The sequence below is a fragment of the Homo sapiens genome, chromosome 5 (genome assembly GCF_000001405.40).
Source record: "Homo sapiens chromosome 5, GRCh38.p14 Primary Assembly".
Taxonomy (NCBI): Eukaryota; Metazoa; Chordata; class Mammalia; order Primates; family Hominidae; genus Homo; species Homo sapiens.
The window spans coordinates 153656679-153674753 of record NC_000005.10 but is presented as its reverse complement, the minus strand read 5'-3'; the positions used below and the strand labels follow the sequence as shown (position 1 = coordinate 153674753).

At 40.5% G+C, this 18075-nt stretch overlaps 1 protein-coding gene across 14 annotated transcripts in view; it reads right to left on the bottom strand.

Annotated features, from left to right (window-relative positions):
• GRIA1 (glutamate ionotropic receptor AMPA type subunit 1) overlaps positions 1-18075 on the bottom strand; it is a 324255-nt gene that overhangs the window by 139116 nt on the left and 167064 nt on the right. For all 14 annotated transcript variants that reach the window (NR_157093.2, NR_047578.2, XM_047417128.1 and 11 more), the window contains one exon: positions 93-254. Coding sequence is in view for 12 of the 14 variants with exons in the window: in XM_047417128.1 (XP_047273084.1) it covers positions 93-254 (162 nt within the window). In the remaining 2 variants the exon portion in view is untranslated. The remainder of the gene's footprint in view (positions 1-92; positions 255-18075) is intronic.

Here is an 18075-nt window from a genome sequence, read left to right as displayed (position 1 = left end):
TGATTCCTTTGTAAAGACTAATGCAGCTCAGAAATCTGGGGCAGGCAAAGGGACCAGGCTGGCCCTTTGCTGCTGGCTGCCCATCCACTCACCTTGGGTCTCTTCCAGTCCACCCGTGTGTGGTCTCGAGCATCACTATTCTTCCACTGCTGCATGATCTTGGCCGGAATAGTGTCTGTGTAGTTCACCAGCTGGAAACCTGTCACATTGGCGCCACTCTCCTTGAATTTGTTTAAGTCAATGTCCATGAAGCCCTGTGAGAGGGGGAGGAGGGAGAAGTTAGAACATGCTGCCTGGATAAATCAACTTAACCTGTTCCAAAACCACAGGATTTTCCATTCAGTTCCACCAGATGAAACCTACTCAATGGAGAGACAGTTAGGCCTCCTTTCCTTTGAACTTGATTATTACTTAGTTTGTGCACAAAATTAGCACAGCTCAGGAGCCAGTATGCCTAGTTTGGAGTGCTGGCGCTGCTATGCATAAGCCAGTAGTTATACCACTATTAACTAAGTTACTTGACAGTTTTCTTGTCTGAATAATGGAGGTCTGGTTGTTGGGGTAAACATACAATGCAACGACACATGTCAAGTGCATGGGGCAGACCAAGTGATCAATAAATAGTGGCTGTGATTATTATGATGATGCAGATATATAGTACAAGGTAGAAACCTCTAAGGAGGGAATAATCTCGTCTACCATCCCAATACCCAACCATTTTGAGAGAAGAGGAATCTGAATTTCACTGGGCAAGCTCCTATGAGTTACCCAAGGACACCAGCAAGTCTGTGGAAGAGGCCGAGTTCTGATCCCAGTCTCCATCCTCACCCTGTGCTCTTTTCCATACAACAGGGTAAATTTTCACCACTCCATGAGGCCTGATCAATTCCAGCAACCATGAAGGATTGTTTATTATAATGACACTTTCCACCCCATTTGGTGAAGTTTACTAAAACTCAAGAAGGCTTCGACTGTAAAAGGAAATCTTACATTTGTATAATATATTCAATAATGTGCAGTACTTTCATATCTATGGCCTCATTTCAGTTTATCCTTTTTTAAGGTAAACATTATATGTCTATTTGCCAGATAAAGAAACTGAGGCAGAGTAGAAGAATCAACTTGCAGAGGCGTCATTTAGGGAGTTAGTAACAGAGAGAGCACCAGAACTAAGGGCCTCTGTTAGGCATTGGTTCACTCAGTCACTCACTCACTTATTCACTGATTAATCATTTCAACAAACATTTTTGAAAAGTCATAGTGCACTATTCTAATAGTGAATAAAGCAAGTTTCTTCCCTTATGGAGCTTATATTCTAGTGGGGAAGACAGACAATAAATGAACAAGTAAATATGCAGCATAGTATAGTATAATCTGGGATAGTATACTCTGCGGTAGCAATGAGCCCCATGAAGGATAAAGTGAGGTAAGAGGATGGGGAGGGGCAGTGTCATGCTTTGGAAGGAGTGATGAGGATGAGCCTCCGCAAGGAGGTGGTCTTGGCTTAGGGACCTGAGTGAAGTGATGCCTGTGTCTGAGCTATGGGGATATTTGGAGAAGAGCATTCTGAGCAAAGGCCCAGAGGTGAGAGGATGATTGGCATATTCAAGAAACAGTAAGGAGGCTGGTGTGATTGTGGCACAGTGAGTTTGAAGAGAAAGGGTGGGAAAGGAGGTCAAATTGGCAGCCCAAAGCTGGTCACATAGAGCCTTGTGTTAACTTGGGTTTCTTTTAGGTATAATTGGGGGCCTGCCCAGCAGGAAGAAAAAAAATGGAATGCACAACTTCTTCATGAAGAACTTTTTTCAGAAGTCACATGCAGATCTTCCACTCATATGCCATTGATCGTATCTTGGAAAACTGCCCAAGGAATTTGAGTGGGATCATACAGGCAATTCCCTTTCAGCTCCATGGCTTGGGGGAAACCACCAAATTCCAATGAATGAAATGGGAAAATGAGCAGGGGATCCATGGTCGATGGAGAAGTTCTGAACTGGGAGCCAAGGAATTAGAGCAGCGGTCCCAGCTCCCTCTTGGGATCCTAGGATACCGTCTATGTTTCTGAATTTCTCATTGGCTTTCTCTGATTTTTCTATCTAAAAGAATAGACTTTATGATTCAAAAACAACCCTCCCCCACCCCTATGCCTCTAAAGTTCTGCGATTTTTTATTGTTTCTATTTTTATAAACAAAGCAAGCTTAGTCACACTCAGAGCTTTTGTCCTTGATATTCTCTCTGCCTGGAAATGTGATTTCCCTGTCTGGCTCCTTTCCATTTTTTGGATCTCAGCTAGACTGCCATCTCTCAGAGAGGTGTTTCCTGACTTCTTATCTAAAGAACTAGTTCTTGCCCTGTTGTAGACAATCTCAGCATCCTGTTCGCTTCCACTCCCCTTTCTACATGGGTATTCTACTTTACGTACCAACTGCAAACACCTGGCTACTCCGCCTACCTGCAGGCTAAGTTAGACATGTTAAGGAGTTAATATGCCCAGAAGCAGCTTTCAATCAATGACAGATGAAGAGTCAGTAGATAAGTGCCCCAGAATCCTCTCCCCTGCATGGCATGACCCTGAGGTGAGTTCTACACTGACATGTTGGGATCCCCTCAGGGACTGTTCTCCTTCAGTAGCCTGCAGTGTAGGCATCTTGTTTATGAAACTTTGTAGGCAGACTTCCCTTCTCTGCCTCCCTTCCCTGGTTTTTTAGGATTGGCACCCAAGAAGCCCCTTGTACTTGAATCCTTGTTTCAGGGAACTGCTTCTGGAAGAACATAGTAGAGTTACCCCCAGCACCCTATCCAGTCTGCTCTATCTCAGTGCCCTGTTAGAGCTTCTCCAGAGTTTTTATCACCATTTGAGATTATCTTGTTTACTCATGTGTTCCCATAGCCTCTTTCCTCCTATTGAAATGTCAGTTTCCTAAGAGCAGGAACCTTTTTTGTCTTGGTCACTGATGTGTCCTAGAACCTGCTCCTAGAGCAATGCTTGGCACAGAGTAGGTGCACAGTATATATTTGTTGAGTGAACAAATAAAAGCCAGAGACTTTCCTCAAGAAAGAAAGCCAATTATCCAGGAGAAATATGACCAGCAGGCAGCAAATACCAGTGGGTGATTGTAATTGGTTGAAAAGAGAAATTCAGGTTGAAAATACCTTTTGAGTTTAACGTGTTCCACAGCCACAGTTTACAGTTTCACAGATGTAGCTGATTTGCACAATGGTTCTAGCAAGCCATTAGTAAAGGTGAAATCAGAACTAGGTTCCTGTACCCAATATGCATTCCAAGACGTTATACCATCTAAGAGAGCACTTACCCCAGCACTGGTTAAAAGCTAGAGCACAGTTGAAAGATTTCTCATAGTTCTTAGAGACTTTAAAAAGAACATGTTCATAAAGTAACTACTGGGAGATTGAAATGGAAAGTATCTCCTGCAGTCAAATTCTGTCTCTTGAAAATCTGTAACAAGGTCCTGGGCATTTCATACTGACTGCTTCCATCTCAGACATAATGGAGGCCAAAGGAAATGGCCGAGTTTCCTCAACTGCTCAACATAAATGCCACTCAATCTTGTCACCAGAATGTCTGACAACAAGGTTAGTGCAGCCAAACCTTAATTACTTATGATCAAACTAATAAGACTCCCCAACTGAACCCCCATCCCCTCCTAAGAAAAAATGGACAGAGAATGATAAAACAAGCTCATAGCTATGATGTTAAGTAAAAGAAACAAAATTAGGAAATAACTTGTGGTCATGAACTATATTCTCATCTAATAGCTGACATCTTCCCTCCTATTTCAGATTTCATGCTGGGAATAATAATCTTGCATCTCTACAATGCTTTTAATCACTAAGAAATGACTCTATTATAGTTACTAGACTAAATTTCTCCATAATTCAAGAAAATGAACCTGCACAACTGTGTTCTTGACTAAGAAGGGGGAAATAAAGGTGTTAACTCTTTGCCCACTGGTTTATGGGAAAATTCAATTCACTCATTCTGTTCCCCGGGGAACTCTCATTAAATAAGGTTTAATTAAATAATTTTCTAATTTTCTTTGCCATTTTATTAAAAAAAACCTTAGAGGGTAATATTTGGTAATTAGAACATTTTTCTTTATCTGCTTTATTTGTGCTATTAATTATATAGTATTATATAAAAATACTACATTGCTAATTATATTCTATTAAAAATTTTAACTACGAAGTTTGATTACTACTCTCTTTGAGCCACTTTGCCTATTTACAACATGTTCCCAAATGCTGGGACCATTGCTCTATATACTGTTACTACTGACAAAAAAAAAAATGAAATTAATCTACAGAGTACTTGTTTTTCAGGTTAGTCAAGTGTTTTTCCAGCTATTCAGCACAAGAATGCAGGTCTAAACCCACTCTCCTTCCACTGACCTCCCAGCACTGGTACCAGATGCTTCTCTTTGAGTGACTGTTTCTCACCTAAAGTGAAGCTTGGTGATGAGTGAGTTCCTAGGGCTATTAGGTCACTGTGTTCTTGTCTGCTTCTTCTGCACCTATGTAGCATTTCACATTGCCCCATGTGTGACTAATAAATCGGTGAGAAAGAATGCTGTGTCTACTGTCATTATTAAATGCAAAGAAATTGACCAATAAACTGTAAGCTCTCAGAAAGTGGTTCTGAGGGACGTATCAGAATACCTTGAGGCACTTTTGCAAAATAACCATCCCCAAGGATTATCATTCAGTAGCCCTAAAGAGGAAACTGGATATCTGTATTTTGACAAAGCTCTAATGCTGGTGAATCAAAAATCAAGGTTCACTATGTAAAAAATACAAGGTAATCATCAGAAGAATTCCAAATAATAGCATATAGGCTAACAAACATTGAGAAGGGGATGTTGGGGGTGTAATATGAGCTGATTTGTCATCTTTCTAATGGGAAGTCAGATATGGAGTTAAAGTTGATAAAGCAAGAAAAAGAAACATAAATATATGATGTAGAAGTGTAAAGGAAACCATTAAATAACCAAATGCAGGAAAAGGGTTTAAAATAGTTACTTCTATGAAGTATAGAATTGGAAAGAATGGGCATTTATCTTTTACTTTATACCCTTCTGTAATATCTGTTTTATCATGTGAATATATTGTATTTTTAATACTATTAAAAAATAAAAATCGATCCTCAGATAGCTCTAATGTATCTTAGATATCATCCATTAGTCACTGGAAAGTGGGGGACAGAGTAGCAGTGGCAAGACAGGGGAGAGAAGTTGTTGCATTTGTTGAAGCTTTGTTATGGTCTTTTAAGAGAGCCCTGCTTAATTTTTTATCTCCTGGCCTGAAATTAAAGCACACTGGTGCTGTTAAGTGCTCCACTGAAAACGGCTTCAGAAGCATTGCTTATAAGAACAAAAATGACAATAATGGCTAAAAATGCCCCTTTGTATGCATTATATAACTTTATTCAAACAGCTTTTTAAGAGTTTTGAGGTTACTGTAATTTAAAAACAAAAGAATAATAATTGTTTGAGATGTATTTTAAACATTTTCCAAGCTCTATTCCTGAGTCAGGCATTCTGTTAAATGCTTTATATACATAATCCTTTAATTACTTAAACAATTCCAAGAGGTAAATGTGCACAGTAGACACCCAATACTTATTTGCATAAATGAGTGAGTGAGTATCCATCCTAATTTTCTGTTAAGGAGCTATGGTTAAGAGACCTTTGGAAATTTCCCTGAGATCACACAGCAAGCAAGAATTCAAACTGTGGTCCAACTATAAAATCTGTCTTCTTCACAAATGTGTTCTACTGCTCCACCAGTGGAGAAACATATGACTTTAGCTTTAGGATGGTGTGTCAAGATTGCTCCAGACAAAGAGGGACAATGAACCTCAGACTGTGGCTGGCACAGTTAATAGCCAGAATATGTCACCCTGCCAGAGCAGGGGCCTTCAAATGTAGCTGTCTTTCTTGAACGAATATTTGTGGGACTGCGCTAGGTTCCTCTCCTTGACACTAACCTCCTAAGGGTCTTTAGATGCTTCCAAAGTGTCTAGTTTATCTGAAGCCTATTAGTGTCCCCCTATTCCACATCTATGCAAGGGGTCAGCAAACTTTTTATGTAAAGGGCCAGATTATAAATATTTTAGGCTTTGCAAACCATATAGTTCTTGTCACAACTAGTCAGCTCTGCCATTGCAGCATGAAAGTAGCCATATATAGAAAATAGTAATTTACTATTACTATTTAGCATATAGTAATTGGAAGAGCATGGCTTTCCCAATATTTTTGGGCATGGTAATTTAATGTCATATAGTTCCACATATTATAAAATATCATTCTTTTGATTTTTTTCCCAACAATTAAAAAATGTAAAAAATCATTCTTAGCTCATGAGCCATATAAAATCAGGTGATGGCTGGATTTGACACAGGGACCATAGTTTGCTGACTTTTGACCTATACAGGAGCAAAGATTTTGGAGAGAAGACCAAACCCTTCATATTGTACAGATAGGGAAACTGAGGCCCAGAGATGGGAATAGTGGCTTAAGGTTATATGGCCAGTTAGAGGATTGGTTGAGAATAGAATCTGTCTCCTCTCTATATCCACTGTAGGAGGTAAAACAAACCCCTCATATTGTTCAGATAGGGAAACTGAGGCCCAAAGAGGGGAATAGTGGCTTAAGGTTATATGGCTGGTGAGAGGATTAGTTGAGAACAGAATCTGTCTCCTCTCTATATCCACTGTAGGAGGTAACACAATGTTGAAAAGGCATTTGAGTACAATGATGGGGAGTAAATGCGCTCAATTAAGTAAACTAGTTAATATAGTCACTCCATCTATCATATGCCAATTATAATTTTCAAAGGATTAGAATGAAAAGGCATTTCAAGTAATTATGATATCCTAAAGAGGTGTTTAACACTACAACTACATTGGACATGCTTTCATCTTGCTGTGAAGATTTGGAGAATGCTTTAAGAATCTTGAAGAGGCTCTGGGCCATCATTATGACTATTAATTATCACGTGCAATTGGAAAGAAAAGAACTGATTATATGTGTCTACTGGTTACTTAACCTCTCTGAGGCTCAGTTCTCTGGTCTTCAAAATGCAGATATAGCACCTACATCACAGGATTGGTGAACGGTTTAAAAGAATTAATAAAACTAAGCACTTAGTACCATGTCTGGCACATAGTAAGTGCTTAATGAATGTTAGCTATTATTATGATCATCACATTCACCATTATCATTATCATTGGGTCAAAAGAGGTTAGGTGTTAGAACTGCTTCAAATACAGGGACTGGGTCAGGCAAGAAGCCTGAGAGAACATGAAGCAGGTGTATAGGAACATAGCTATCGAAGGATGAAAGGCTTTATCTTCAAAGCTGGATTTCCTTTGCTCTGGGATTCTTTCAAGGGGTCACATACGAGCTGTTCAGCCCTCATCATCCTGCCTGTGCTGACACCACACCAGTCAGAAGGAAGAAGGAGCATCTAACATTGTTCAAGGAAACGGGCAAGTAAGGTTTATTAAACAAATCCTGGGACACTGGAAAGAGCACTTCCTCCATCCCATCCCCTTGAGATCCACAGGAGGTAAGTTGAGAGAAAAATCAAAGAACTTGTACTGTATACTCTGAATGGCACAGGTTGAACATGCCAAGTTTCCCCAAATTGTCAGATAAAATCTTAGATGACAGCTCCATTGAGAGAGTAGTTATAGGAAACTGTGGTTTGAAAAGTCTTATATTAGAAGTATTTTTTTAAAAGTGGGAATTATCAGCCTAAAAAAGTATAGAAGACCAAGAAAGTAAGTGAAGGATGTATTTGAGTCCCAGAAGGGTTGTCATGGGGAAGAGATGGATGATTTGTTCTCTGAGGCTCTGGAACGCAGGCCAGAGCCAATGAAAGGGCAAATGTCATAGAAGGCAGACTTTGGCTAAAACAATAATTACAAGTACCTAACACGTATCAAACCTGTACTGTGTAGTAGAAACTGTGCTAAGTACTTTATTTGTGTTATCTCATTTAATCCTCATAGCAATCCTGTAAAGTGGGTACTATTATCATTCCCATTAGCAAATTAGAAATTTAAAAAATTGAGGCTTAAGTTAATGGAGTAGCTCCTGCTCAGTACAGTATAGCTAGTGAGGGACAGAGACCAACAAGTAAAAAGACTCTAGGACTTGTTTTCTAACCACTGTACATCAAGCCTCCCAACCACTAGTGAGGCCAATCTATTCATTTATGTCCTGTCCTGCAATGAAGCACTCAGAGCAGCACACATTTTTATACCAAGAAGGAAGTATCAGGCTTCCATGAGATCAGGGCATTTCCCTTAGCTCCTTTAATGTGTGCTGGTACTTGAAATGTGAACCACACAGCACTTTATTCCTATCTCTCTAGGCCTCTCCTAGCTTTCTCTTTGAACGTGCAGGGGCCCTTCTCATCTTCCCTGTGAGACTGTGAGCTCCTGGAGGGCAGGGACGTTGGCCCCCACAGCGTCCACAAGCAGTACCTGGATCAGGGTGCATGCTCAATACATGTGGAGGAATGAAGGAACAGAAAGTTTCTTCTCACCCTCTCATGATTTTTTTATAAGCTTCAATCCTGTCACCACTCAGCCTCAGCTTTTGTCTTGTGGATCAAAGAGGTCTTCTTATTGACTTTTTTGTGTAGTCTATTGTGAACCAGGTCATAAATAAGAAGTGTCAGGAAAAGAGTTTTAGGGAGAACCACATAAATCCTGTCTTTGAATCTCATGAGTTGTTTGTCCTTGGGCAATTATCTCAACCTGTATAGCCATTAGTTGATTGATCTGCAAAATAAGAACTTTGGCTACATCAATGATCTTATAAGCTATGTTCCTGGTTGCAGGCATTTTAGAAGTTACCATATTAGGTTAGGGAAAAGGCAGAAAGATGTGGTCCTAAATCCCACCCTCTCTTTTCCACCATAGTAGCTCTGCTTTTTATCTGTTTTATATATGAGAGTTCTCCCCCAAGATTCCATTTGAAAATAGAGCCTCAAACTAAAAAGTTTGGAAACTTCTGAGCCACTTGATTTCTCTCTTAAGGGCTCTTCCAGCTTTGATCTACAATTCTATGATCACACAGGTATGTGCGCATGAATATGGATATGTGTGAATTTGTGGAATACTCCTGGGCTGAAGACTTAATTGTGTCCTCAAATACCCATGTCTCTGCATAAAAGTCTTCACATTTTCCTATTTTAGCCACTTTAACCAACCAAACCTTTAAGGTGTCCTCTCCCTATATAATCTCTGGTAACACAGAGGGTAGTCTGGTTCCCTCTAATTAAACAAGGTATTGTAGCTGTGCTTAAATCAGTGAAAACACCATAAATATTGAGAAGAAAAAAGCATTCGTGTTGACTTATCCAGTTACATTTGGAACCAGGGAGGCACACTTGGATATCTGCAAACACACCAACAGACATACCTCATACAAGTATCCAGTATTGACAAAGCATTGTAAATGTCAGTCAGGGTCTCACAAACTAATTTCTCTTAGCCCTGGGATTTAGGATAAAATGCTGGCACTTTCTGGCAGAAGGTTAGGGACTCCAGGTTGGGCTATTGAGTGCAAGGCTGCATGGGTGTACTACCTGGCCTGGGAATAGTTGGTCTTCCAGAGAGTCCCTTCATCTTTACTCTGCCCCAACTGTTGTGGTCAGGAATGACACCTGGCCAAGGCCATTTCAGAGCAAGAGCAAATTTCCTGGTATGAGGTGGGCCCTTATGGCTACAGTTCCCAGTGGACTTAAAACCAATTGCATCTACCCTTTACATGATCAAAACCTTCCTATCTAGAAAAGGCCAAGCAAATACTCATAGCATGCCCATCTTTTGATGAAAAGCCGGTTTACACCTTCACAGGCCTCCCATATAGTAGGTGCCCATTGAATGTTTGATAAAAAGAAGAATGAAAGTCCAAACATGATAAATATGAAAGCTACTGGGAACCAGGTAAGAAATATTGTAGTAAATCATTTATTTGTCCATTTACTCATTCACTCATGAGTGCTTAACACTGTCAGGCCCATGCTATACATAGAAATGTAGCAGAGAAGAAGACAGGTGTGGTCCTTGCTTTCAAGTTACCTAAGGTCTAGTGAGAAAGGCCAATATTACACAAGTAATTATAGAGCAAAATGAGTGGACCCAAACTTGATCTTGGAGCTCAGGGAAGGTCTTGCAGCAAAAGCATGAAGCCTGAAAAAAAAAAAGTGCCTTTGGTTGGGTGAAGAGGGCTGGGAACACCAAGCAGAAAATATGCATGTATTGAGGTTCAGAGTCAGAGCCACAGAGGGTTACTGCCCTCTGTCACAGAAACTGCCTGTGCATGTCAGCCTAGATTCAAATCTTAGCTCCACCACCTCCTAGCTGTGCAACCTCAGGAGGGCTACTCAACCTTTTAGTGCCTCAGTAACCTTTGCTGCAACATAAGGATTATTATGGTATTTCTCATAGCTGTTGTGAGGATTAACTATGTTACCTGTCAGATTCTTAGAGAACAGTGCTTGGCACATAGTAAGTATTTACCTAAAATCCTGTGTCTCCTGGAGCTCCATTTCCCTCCCATTGTATTCTCTATTTTTCTGTCTTAAAAAGAGGGATAGGTAAGGAAACAAGGACCAGACTCTTCTAGTTACATAGCTCACCAACCATCTGCCAAAATTAGTGCTAAGGGGCCCCTCTTGCTTGAAGGCTGCTGGTGACAGTGAGTTTCCATGCTCTGTCAGAGCAATCATAGTCACTGTCTTACATATCTGAAATGGTCCAAAGGATGCTGACCCAGCATGAAAAAGGCCATTCCAAATCAGCCTAGGTGTGCATGGTTTGCAAGATCGAAAGATACACACACCAAGTGCTTGAGATTAATAGAACAGCCTCTTCCTTAAGCTTAAGGGAGCCAGTGTGGCTATGAGAGATATTTTTTGATACCTCTGAACTGAAGACAATCAGGAAAACTAGAACCCTAAATCACACAGGCAGGAAGATTGTTTTGCTGATTTTTTTCCTTTTGAAAACATTATGCCAATTCTAGAACAAATTGAGATCTTACAGAAAAATATGATTTGCATAAATGGTCATGAGTAAGTGACAGAGTTAGGATGAGACCCTGGGCTTCTGTTGCACTCTGTGTTCTAAAACTTTACATACATTAACTCATTTTATCTTTATCTTATGAGATCCACATTAATATTCCCACTCATAGGTGAGACAGCTGAGGTACAAACAGGAGAAGTGACTTGCAATGGACAAACAGCTAGTAAGTAGCTGAGCCAGATTTCAAACCCAGGCAGTTTAAGGAAGAAAGGAGTTTATTTCTTGGCTTTGCTCAATTATAATACCAGTCCTAAGAATTGCAAAGGTTTCCCCAGTTTGGGCAGTGTGGCCCAATGGAGAACAAGCCTAATCCTTAGAATGGGAAAGGTTTTAAGTTTGAATTCCAGTTTTAGTCAAATGACTTTACAAAAGGTTTTTCAACAACTTGAACTTCATTTTTCTCCTTATAAAATGGGACCAGAATCTTACTTTTCTTGGAGGGAGGCAGAAAATCTCAGAGGTCTCTGGGGTGAATTCTCTCAGAGGATGGGGGTGAATACAAAGAGTAACCTAGACTGGGATGCTTGGATCACCTTGGAAGACAGCATCCTTTGGCATCTGGGGTTTGTCTTTCTATCCACCCACTCTCCTTTTCCTTCCAAAGGCTCTGGGCAGTGTCAGCTCTGGAGATCACACAGTGTCTGTTACCGAACAGTGAGGTGAGAGCAGAGCGGGAGAGGGAAGGCTGTGTGGGAGGAAGAAGAGGAAACTGGAATAAGCTTCATCAGCAAAGAGAGTCCTTGAGAGGGGCACAGTGGGGAGTAGGAAGCACTTCTGAGCTCCCTCTCTGTCTCTGTCTCTGTCTCTGCTCCTGCCCCACCCTCAACACAGAGGCATATGGGCACATTGTGAAAAGGCAGTTTGGAGAAAAGAAGCCACAAAGAAGGAGCAAGTGAATACTCCAAATCCTAGCCCAGCTTTGCTGTTTAACTTCTGGGTGAATTCAGACAGATCACCTCCTTTCTCTCATTCTTGAGTGTCTATTTTATAAAATGAGGCGCCGGGTGAGATGAGTTTCATAGGTACCCTTCAGCTCTCACTCCGCTGGATTCTTCAAACAAGGGGGAGGGCACACTCTACATGACTGCTGGCCTTGTAGATGCAGCCTCACGAGCCTTCCCAGACACCCCACAGCTGAGGCGGCCTCCCTGGCCTCTGATCACCACACTGTGACAGGGTAGGTGGCCATCTATGAGGCTTAGATATTTTCACAGGCTGTGATTTTTCTCTGGCATTCTTTTGAGAATGTTATTTTACATGTTCTAATCTAGCTGGAAGAAAAGGTCAGGTTGCTTCTGGGACAAAGTTCAGCCTCATGCTTCTTAGTCCTTCTTGCATGAGCCCAGTGCAGTATCAGGCATACGGACAGGCCTGGTCCATGTTTGGTGGTTGTCTGGACAGCTGTAAGAACCACATCCTGAGAGAAGGCACTGGGGGAACAGGGGTGTGTCCAGACTGAAGGTGCAAACACCAAAGAGTAAGCAAGGTAGCCATTTTCAAATACTCAAAGGCTGCTTTGTGGGAAGGCACAGGTAAGTTTTGCAAGAGCCAGAGGGCATTAGAGTCAGAAGTGATGAGAGAGTGACACAGGGTGAGCAGCACACAGGTCGTGCCCTGTTCCAGGAAGAGTGCAGAAACTGTCTGAGCCCTTTGAGAAGAAAAGGGGCTGTCTCAGAGGTAGGACTTTTCCATCACTGGGTATTATTCAAGCATGAACCTGATGGCTGAGTTTCTGTTGGGGACGTTGTAGAGGAGATTCTGGCTCTCTACATGAAGTGGGTTAGAAGGCCTCTTAGGCCTGTCTTTAACTACTTATTTGCATATTCATAACTAAATTCATATTCCTACTACCTCTACTTCTTCTAGCATAGGTGCTAAAAGATTTTGCCTTTAAGTACATTTGATATGTAGGTGCAGACATTATTTTCTAGGAATTCATTTATTCATTCATTCATTCATTCATTCATTGACTTTTTAAAGCACACCTGTTATGTGCAACTCACTTCGCCAGGCCCTGGGAATTCAACAGAGAATAAGTCACACACAATCCTTCCTCTAGGAGCTTGTAGATAAACAGGGAAGAAGACATGAAATAATAGAGAATCAGTTATCTAATCTCAAGTATAGTAAGTGAAAAAATATCTGGGGCTATGGCAGCATAAAACAGGTAGATGTGATTTCATTTCCGAGAGCGTTGAGGGATCTCACTTAGTTCTCATAAAACCCTATAAGAATGTACATAATATCATTCTCTTTTTTAAAGATAAGGCAACAAAAACTCAGAAAAGGTAGATAAATTGACTAATGTTACATAGCTAATAAGTATAAAAGTCAGAATTCAAACCCAGAACTGGCTCCAAAGCCACCCTTCCCAACTACTATACCACCTGCCTAACCAGAAGCTGCAGAAACTAAACATAACTGTGAGGTACAGAGCCAACAGGAAGAGAGGCACTGAAGAAAGTGGATGAGCTCAGCTTTGCAGAAGGAGCTGACAGATTTATCACCACAGGGGAGCAAGGAGACTAAAGAACAGTTTCTGCTCAGGGCTGATCCCGCAGAGGAGCAGCAGCATGGGGCTGGGGGCTTGGAATAGCTGCCAAATAGACTAAAACTTCCAATCTAACATTCTACAGGAGTTAATCTGCAAGCACATGGCAGAAATGGCCAACTGTCCTGGTTCCCAAGTACCCCGATAAGACCTGGAATGGGCTAACTCCGTCATCTCTTCCTCAGCTTCTGTCACACTAGAAATAATAATTTTAATAAAATTCCATCAATGTAGTTGTAGTTCTTACCTTTGTGACTCACCAGAAGCAAATCTTAGACCAAATGAGTGTTTCTCAAAACAGAGGACCTGTGGACCTCTGTGGTGTGTCTGTAGAGCCAGTTTGGAAAATGCGGCACTAACAAGTGAATGCTTCAGTGCCACTGCGATTGCCAATATGAGTACCTAAACCATGGAGTAAATGGTGAGACAGATGTCCAATGGGAATTTGAGAGCCTGGGTTGGAATGTCAGATCTATTGCTGCTACTGTAGACAAGATTTAAACTCAAGCTGTCTTGTCCAGGACAACCCCCTCTCTTTCCTGACTCTTTCCCCAACTCTCCCTGTCCAGCACTCACATGGCACGGTAATAAGAACACAAATTTTGGGATTCCATGGCCCTTGAGGAGAAGTGCAGCTCCATCACTTTATATGTTTTGTGACTGTGGAAAAGTCAACCTTTCTGAAGCTCTGTTTCTTCATCTGAGGATAATATCAACCTCAAGGGCTATTGGGAAGGTTTAATTGACATGCATTTAAGTGTTTATCATAGTGTCTAGAATGTAGCAATCAGTCAATTGTGGAAGTTATTGCCATTGTTATTATTGTTGTAATTTATTAGGGGTTTAAGGAATTCTAATTCAGTGACTCAAGTGTCTCAGCATCAGGTTAGCCTGATCATCTTATTCTTATGCCCACATCTCTTGGTTTTTGTCATATTCCTGACAGCCAAACTCCATTAATTAGGTTCCTGTCTTTCTCCTCTGCAGCTCAGTCATGTAATGTCTCAGCCTCAGTTCCCACATCTGTAAAATGGGGATGATGAATTCCACCTTGTTTACTTCATAGGAGTATTATGACATCCAAAACCCGGTAGTATGATTCATACAGAAATATCACATAAACTATAATATGGTATAAAAATGAGAGAGATTGTTGATATTACTATTGTTATTACTCCTCTAGAAGGCACCATATTGTTCACACTGGTCAATGTTGTCCAACAAATTCAATATTTTTCAGACAGGAGTCTGCTGAAACCTGTGTAAATTCTCCCAATCTTCTAGTTCTCTATGAGAATTTTAAAATATGTGCTTTCATTCCAGTAAAATTCTAAATACCAGTATAACAATCTGACCATTTACTCCATGGTTTAGGTACTCATATTGGCAATTGCAGTGGCACTGAAGCATTCGCTTGTTGGTGCCACATTTTCCAAACTGGCTCTACAGAAACACTACAGAGGTCCACAGGTCCTCTGTTTTGAGAAACACTCATTTGGTCTAAGATTTGCTTCTGGTGAGTCACAAAGATAAGAACTACAACTCTGAAGGACTCTGGCTGCCAGATGTCTGCACTCCCCACAGTCTCAGAGCAGGGAGTGAATGCACAGTCAGTGTTAGGGTTTGGAGGACCACTGGCAGCCAGGCTCAGCACTTGTGTGTTCCAGGACCCAGGCACATCTGTGAGAGATAGTGGCATAGCTTTCCAATTTCTGCATGGTTCAAGTTCATCTTATGCCCACACCAATGCTATGGAAATAAACATACATATCTCTCCTATAAAATATGGATATATATGCAAGCATATATATGCATATGTACATACACACCATATGTGAATATGTACAGATGGGCGGATTTAATATGTGAAGTAAGAATTTTCCATTTGTGCAGAACACTTTTAACTTTTTAAAGCATGGTGCATTTGGCAACATATTTGGTCTCCCCAGTGACACTATGAGTAGGTAGAGTAGGAATTATTGTTCTCAATTGACAGATGAGGAAACTGAGGATTGGAGAGTTGTCCAAGAATACAGAGCCAGCTAAAAGGGGCATCTGGACAAAAAACAAGGTTTTTTTTTTGTTTGTTTGTTTTTGTTTTGCTTTGTTTTGTTTTGACTCCTTGCCTATAAGTTGTCTTCTCTAACCTACAATCTCCTCCCCTCCTCTCTTCCGGCAGCCCTTCAAAGGTGGCTATTTGAACCCCAGAAGCATTCCTCCGAAGTGATCTGCTAAAAGAATGCTGCTGGCTACTTTGAAGCTCATGCATTCCGACAGGGACAGAAAGAACTGTAAAATAAAAGTGTAGCTCCCTCCTTTTGTTAAACCTTTCAAAGCCTTCCTTGGTCTCTAACTCTATAATTACACCCTAATCACAAACATTCCGAAGGAGTGGGTCAGTTCTATGCAGCAGTAGGCTAATTATGTGGCAGAAATTCTAAAAATTATCGTCTTATGAATTGCATTATTCCTCTGAAGGGGGAAGAAAACACACCACATACTCGACTATGTTTCAAACTGAATTAATTAGTAATTTGAAGCCTAATTATCAACTAATCTATCGAAACATGCAAGTCTTTTTTATTTGGATGGTATATGCAATTTTCATCCTATTAGCTGGCAGCTGTAAGCATTTGAGAGGTCATTAGGTCAGAAGAAGAAAAATGCAGATCAGAAGGATACAACAGCCCAAGAGGCTGACTTGGTGATGCTGTGACTGAGGGGTTACTTGGCAACAGATGGAGGCTGGCAATGTAATTACCTGGGGTCTTTCAGTGTCTCTAAGGCCACTGGCATGCAATTTCTATCTCACCCCAGAGAGGTAATTATGCCTATCCCCACCCTTGTTCTGTGTATTCTTGTTCTATGTATTGTTCTGTGTATTCTTAAGCAGCAGGGTGCCTACAAAGTTTCACTGAGAGATGACCTGGAGTTATAGAAAAGGCCTGAATACTGCCTGCTACCCTTGGTGACAGGCCTAGCTCTAGTGCTGCCTCACTGTGTGACCTTGGCCAAGTCACACCCCTTTGCTGGTTGTTTCCCTATAAACAAGTGAGGTTTAAGTGGAGTTGACTTCCTAAGTCCGCTCTAGCACTAAGGATCTGGGAGTCAAGGGATGTTAAGGGCTTTCCTCACTCCGAAGTCAAAAATTCCATTTTTGCAAATGGTCTTTGGAGGGTGAGACTCTTCGTTCCCCAAAAGTGTCTGGAGAGCCACCCTCATTTAAAATGCAAATACCTCTGAGAAAGGTAATATATTTAGCCATTAACAGCTGGGCCTAAATTAACCTACTTCTCTAAGCCCTTCTTATTTCAAGTCCTCACTCCGAAATATTGCCAAGACAAGTTAGTTGAAGAAGGGGAAAGAAGAGTAAGGCAGGGATCTATCTAAGGCTGGATACCAGGTCAGAAAGAAGGACAGAATTTCTGGATTAGGCAGGATGCTTTGGTCACATTTTTAGATTCATGCACCCTGTGCCTTATTTCTACTAACAGACTTTACTCCAGAAATGAGTAACAAATATTAATCCTTTGTTCAATTACTATTGCTCATAGAGATAATCAACACAAAATAACATGGTTAAAACTGAAGCCAGTTATATGTTCAGTTAAGTAAGTTAAAACCTGAAAATTTGTTATAGATAAAAAGCTAGAAACCACTTCTTAATGGAAACATGGAAAATTGCAAAGACAGAACAGGATAATAAACTGTAGAAATAGTTATCATTAAGAGACACTTGCCATCATTCAAACTGTCACATGGAAAAATTTGTTATTGATTAAAATTTGATGGGTGATGCAGCCACTTTGGAAAATAATTTTGGAGTTCCTCAAAATGTTAAACATAGAGTTATCATATAACCCAGTAATTCCATGCCTAGGTATATATTAAAGTGAAAATCTTGTACACTAATATTTTATAGCAGCATTATTCATAATAGTCAAAAAGTGAAAACAACCCAAATGTGCATGAACTGAAAAATGGATAAAGAAAATGTGGTATATGCTCATAATGAAATATTGTTTGGCAATAAAAAGGAATCAAGTACTGATACATGCTGCAACATGGGTGAAACTTGAAAATGTTATGCTAAGTGAAAGAAGTCAATTACAAATGACCACATATTGTATGATTTCACATATATGACATGCTCCAAACAGGCAAATACATACGGATAGAAAGTAAATTAATGGTTGCCTAGGGCTGGAGGAGCTTAGGGGATGATAAGGAGTCATTGCTAATAGGTAAGGGATTTCTCCTAGCAGTGATGAAGAATTTTAAAATAAGACTGTGGTGATGGTTTCATAACTTTGTGAATATATTGAAAACCATTTAATTGTACACTTTAAATGGATGAATTGTGTGCTTTATAAAATATGTCTCAATAAAGCCTTTAAAAAT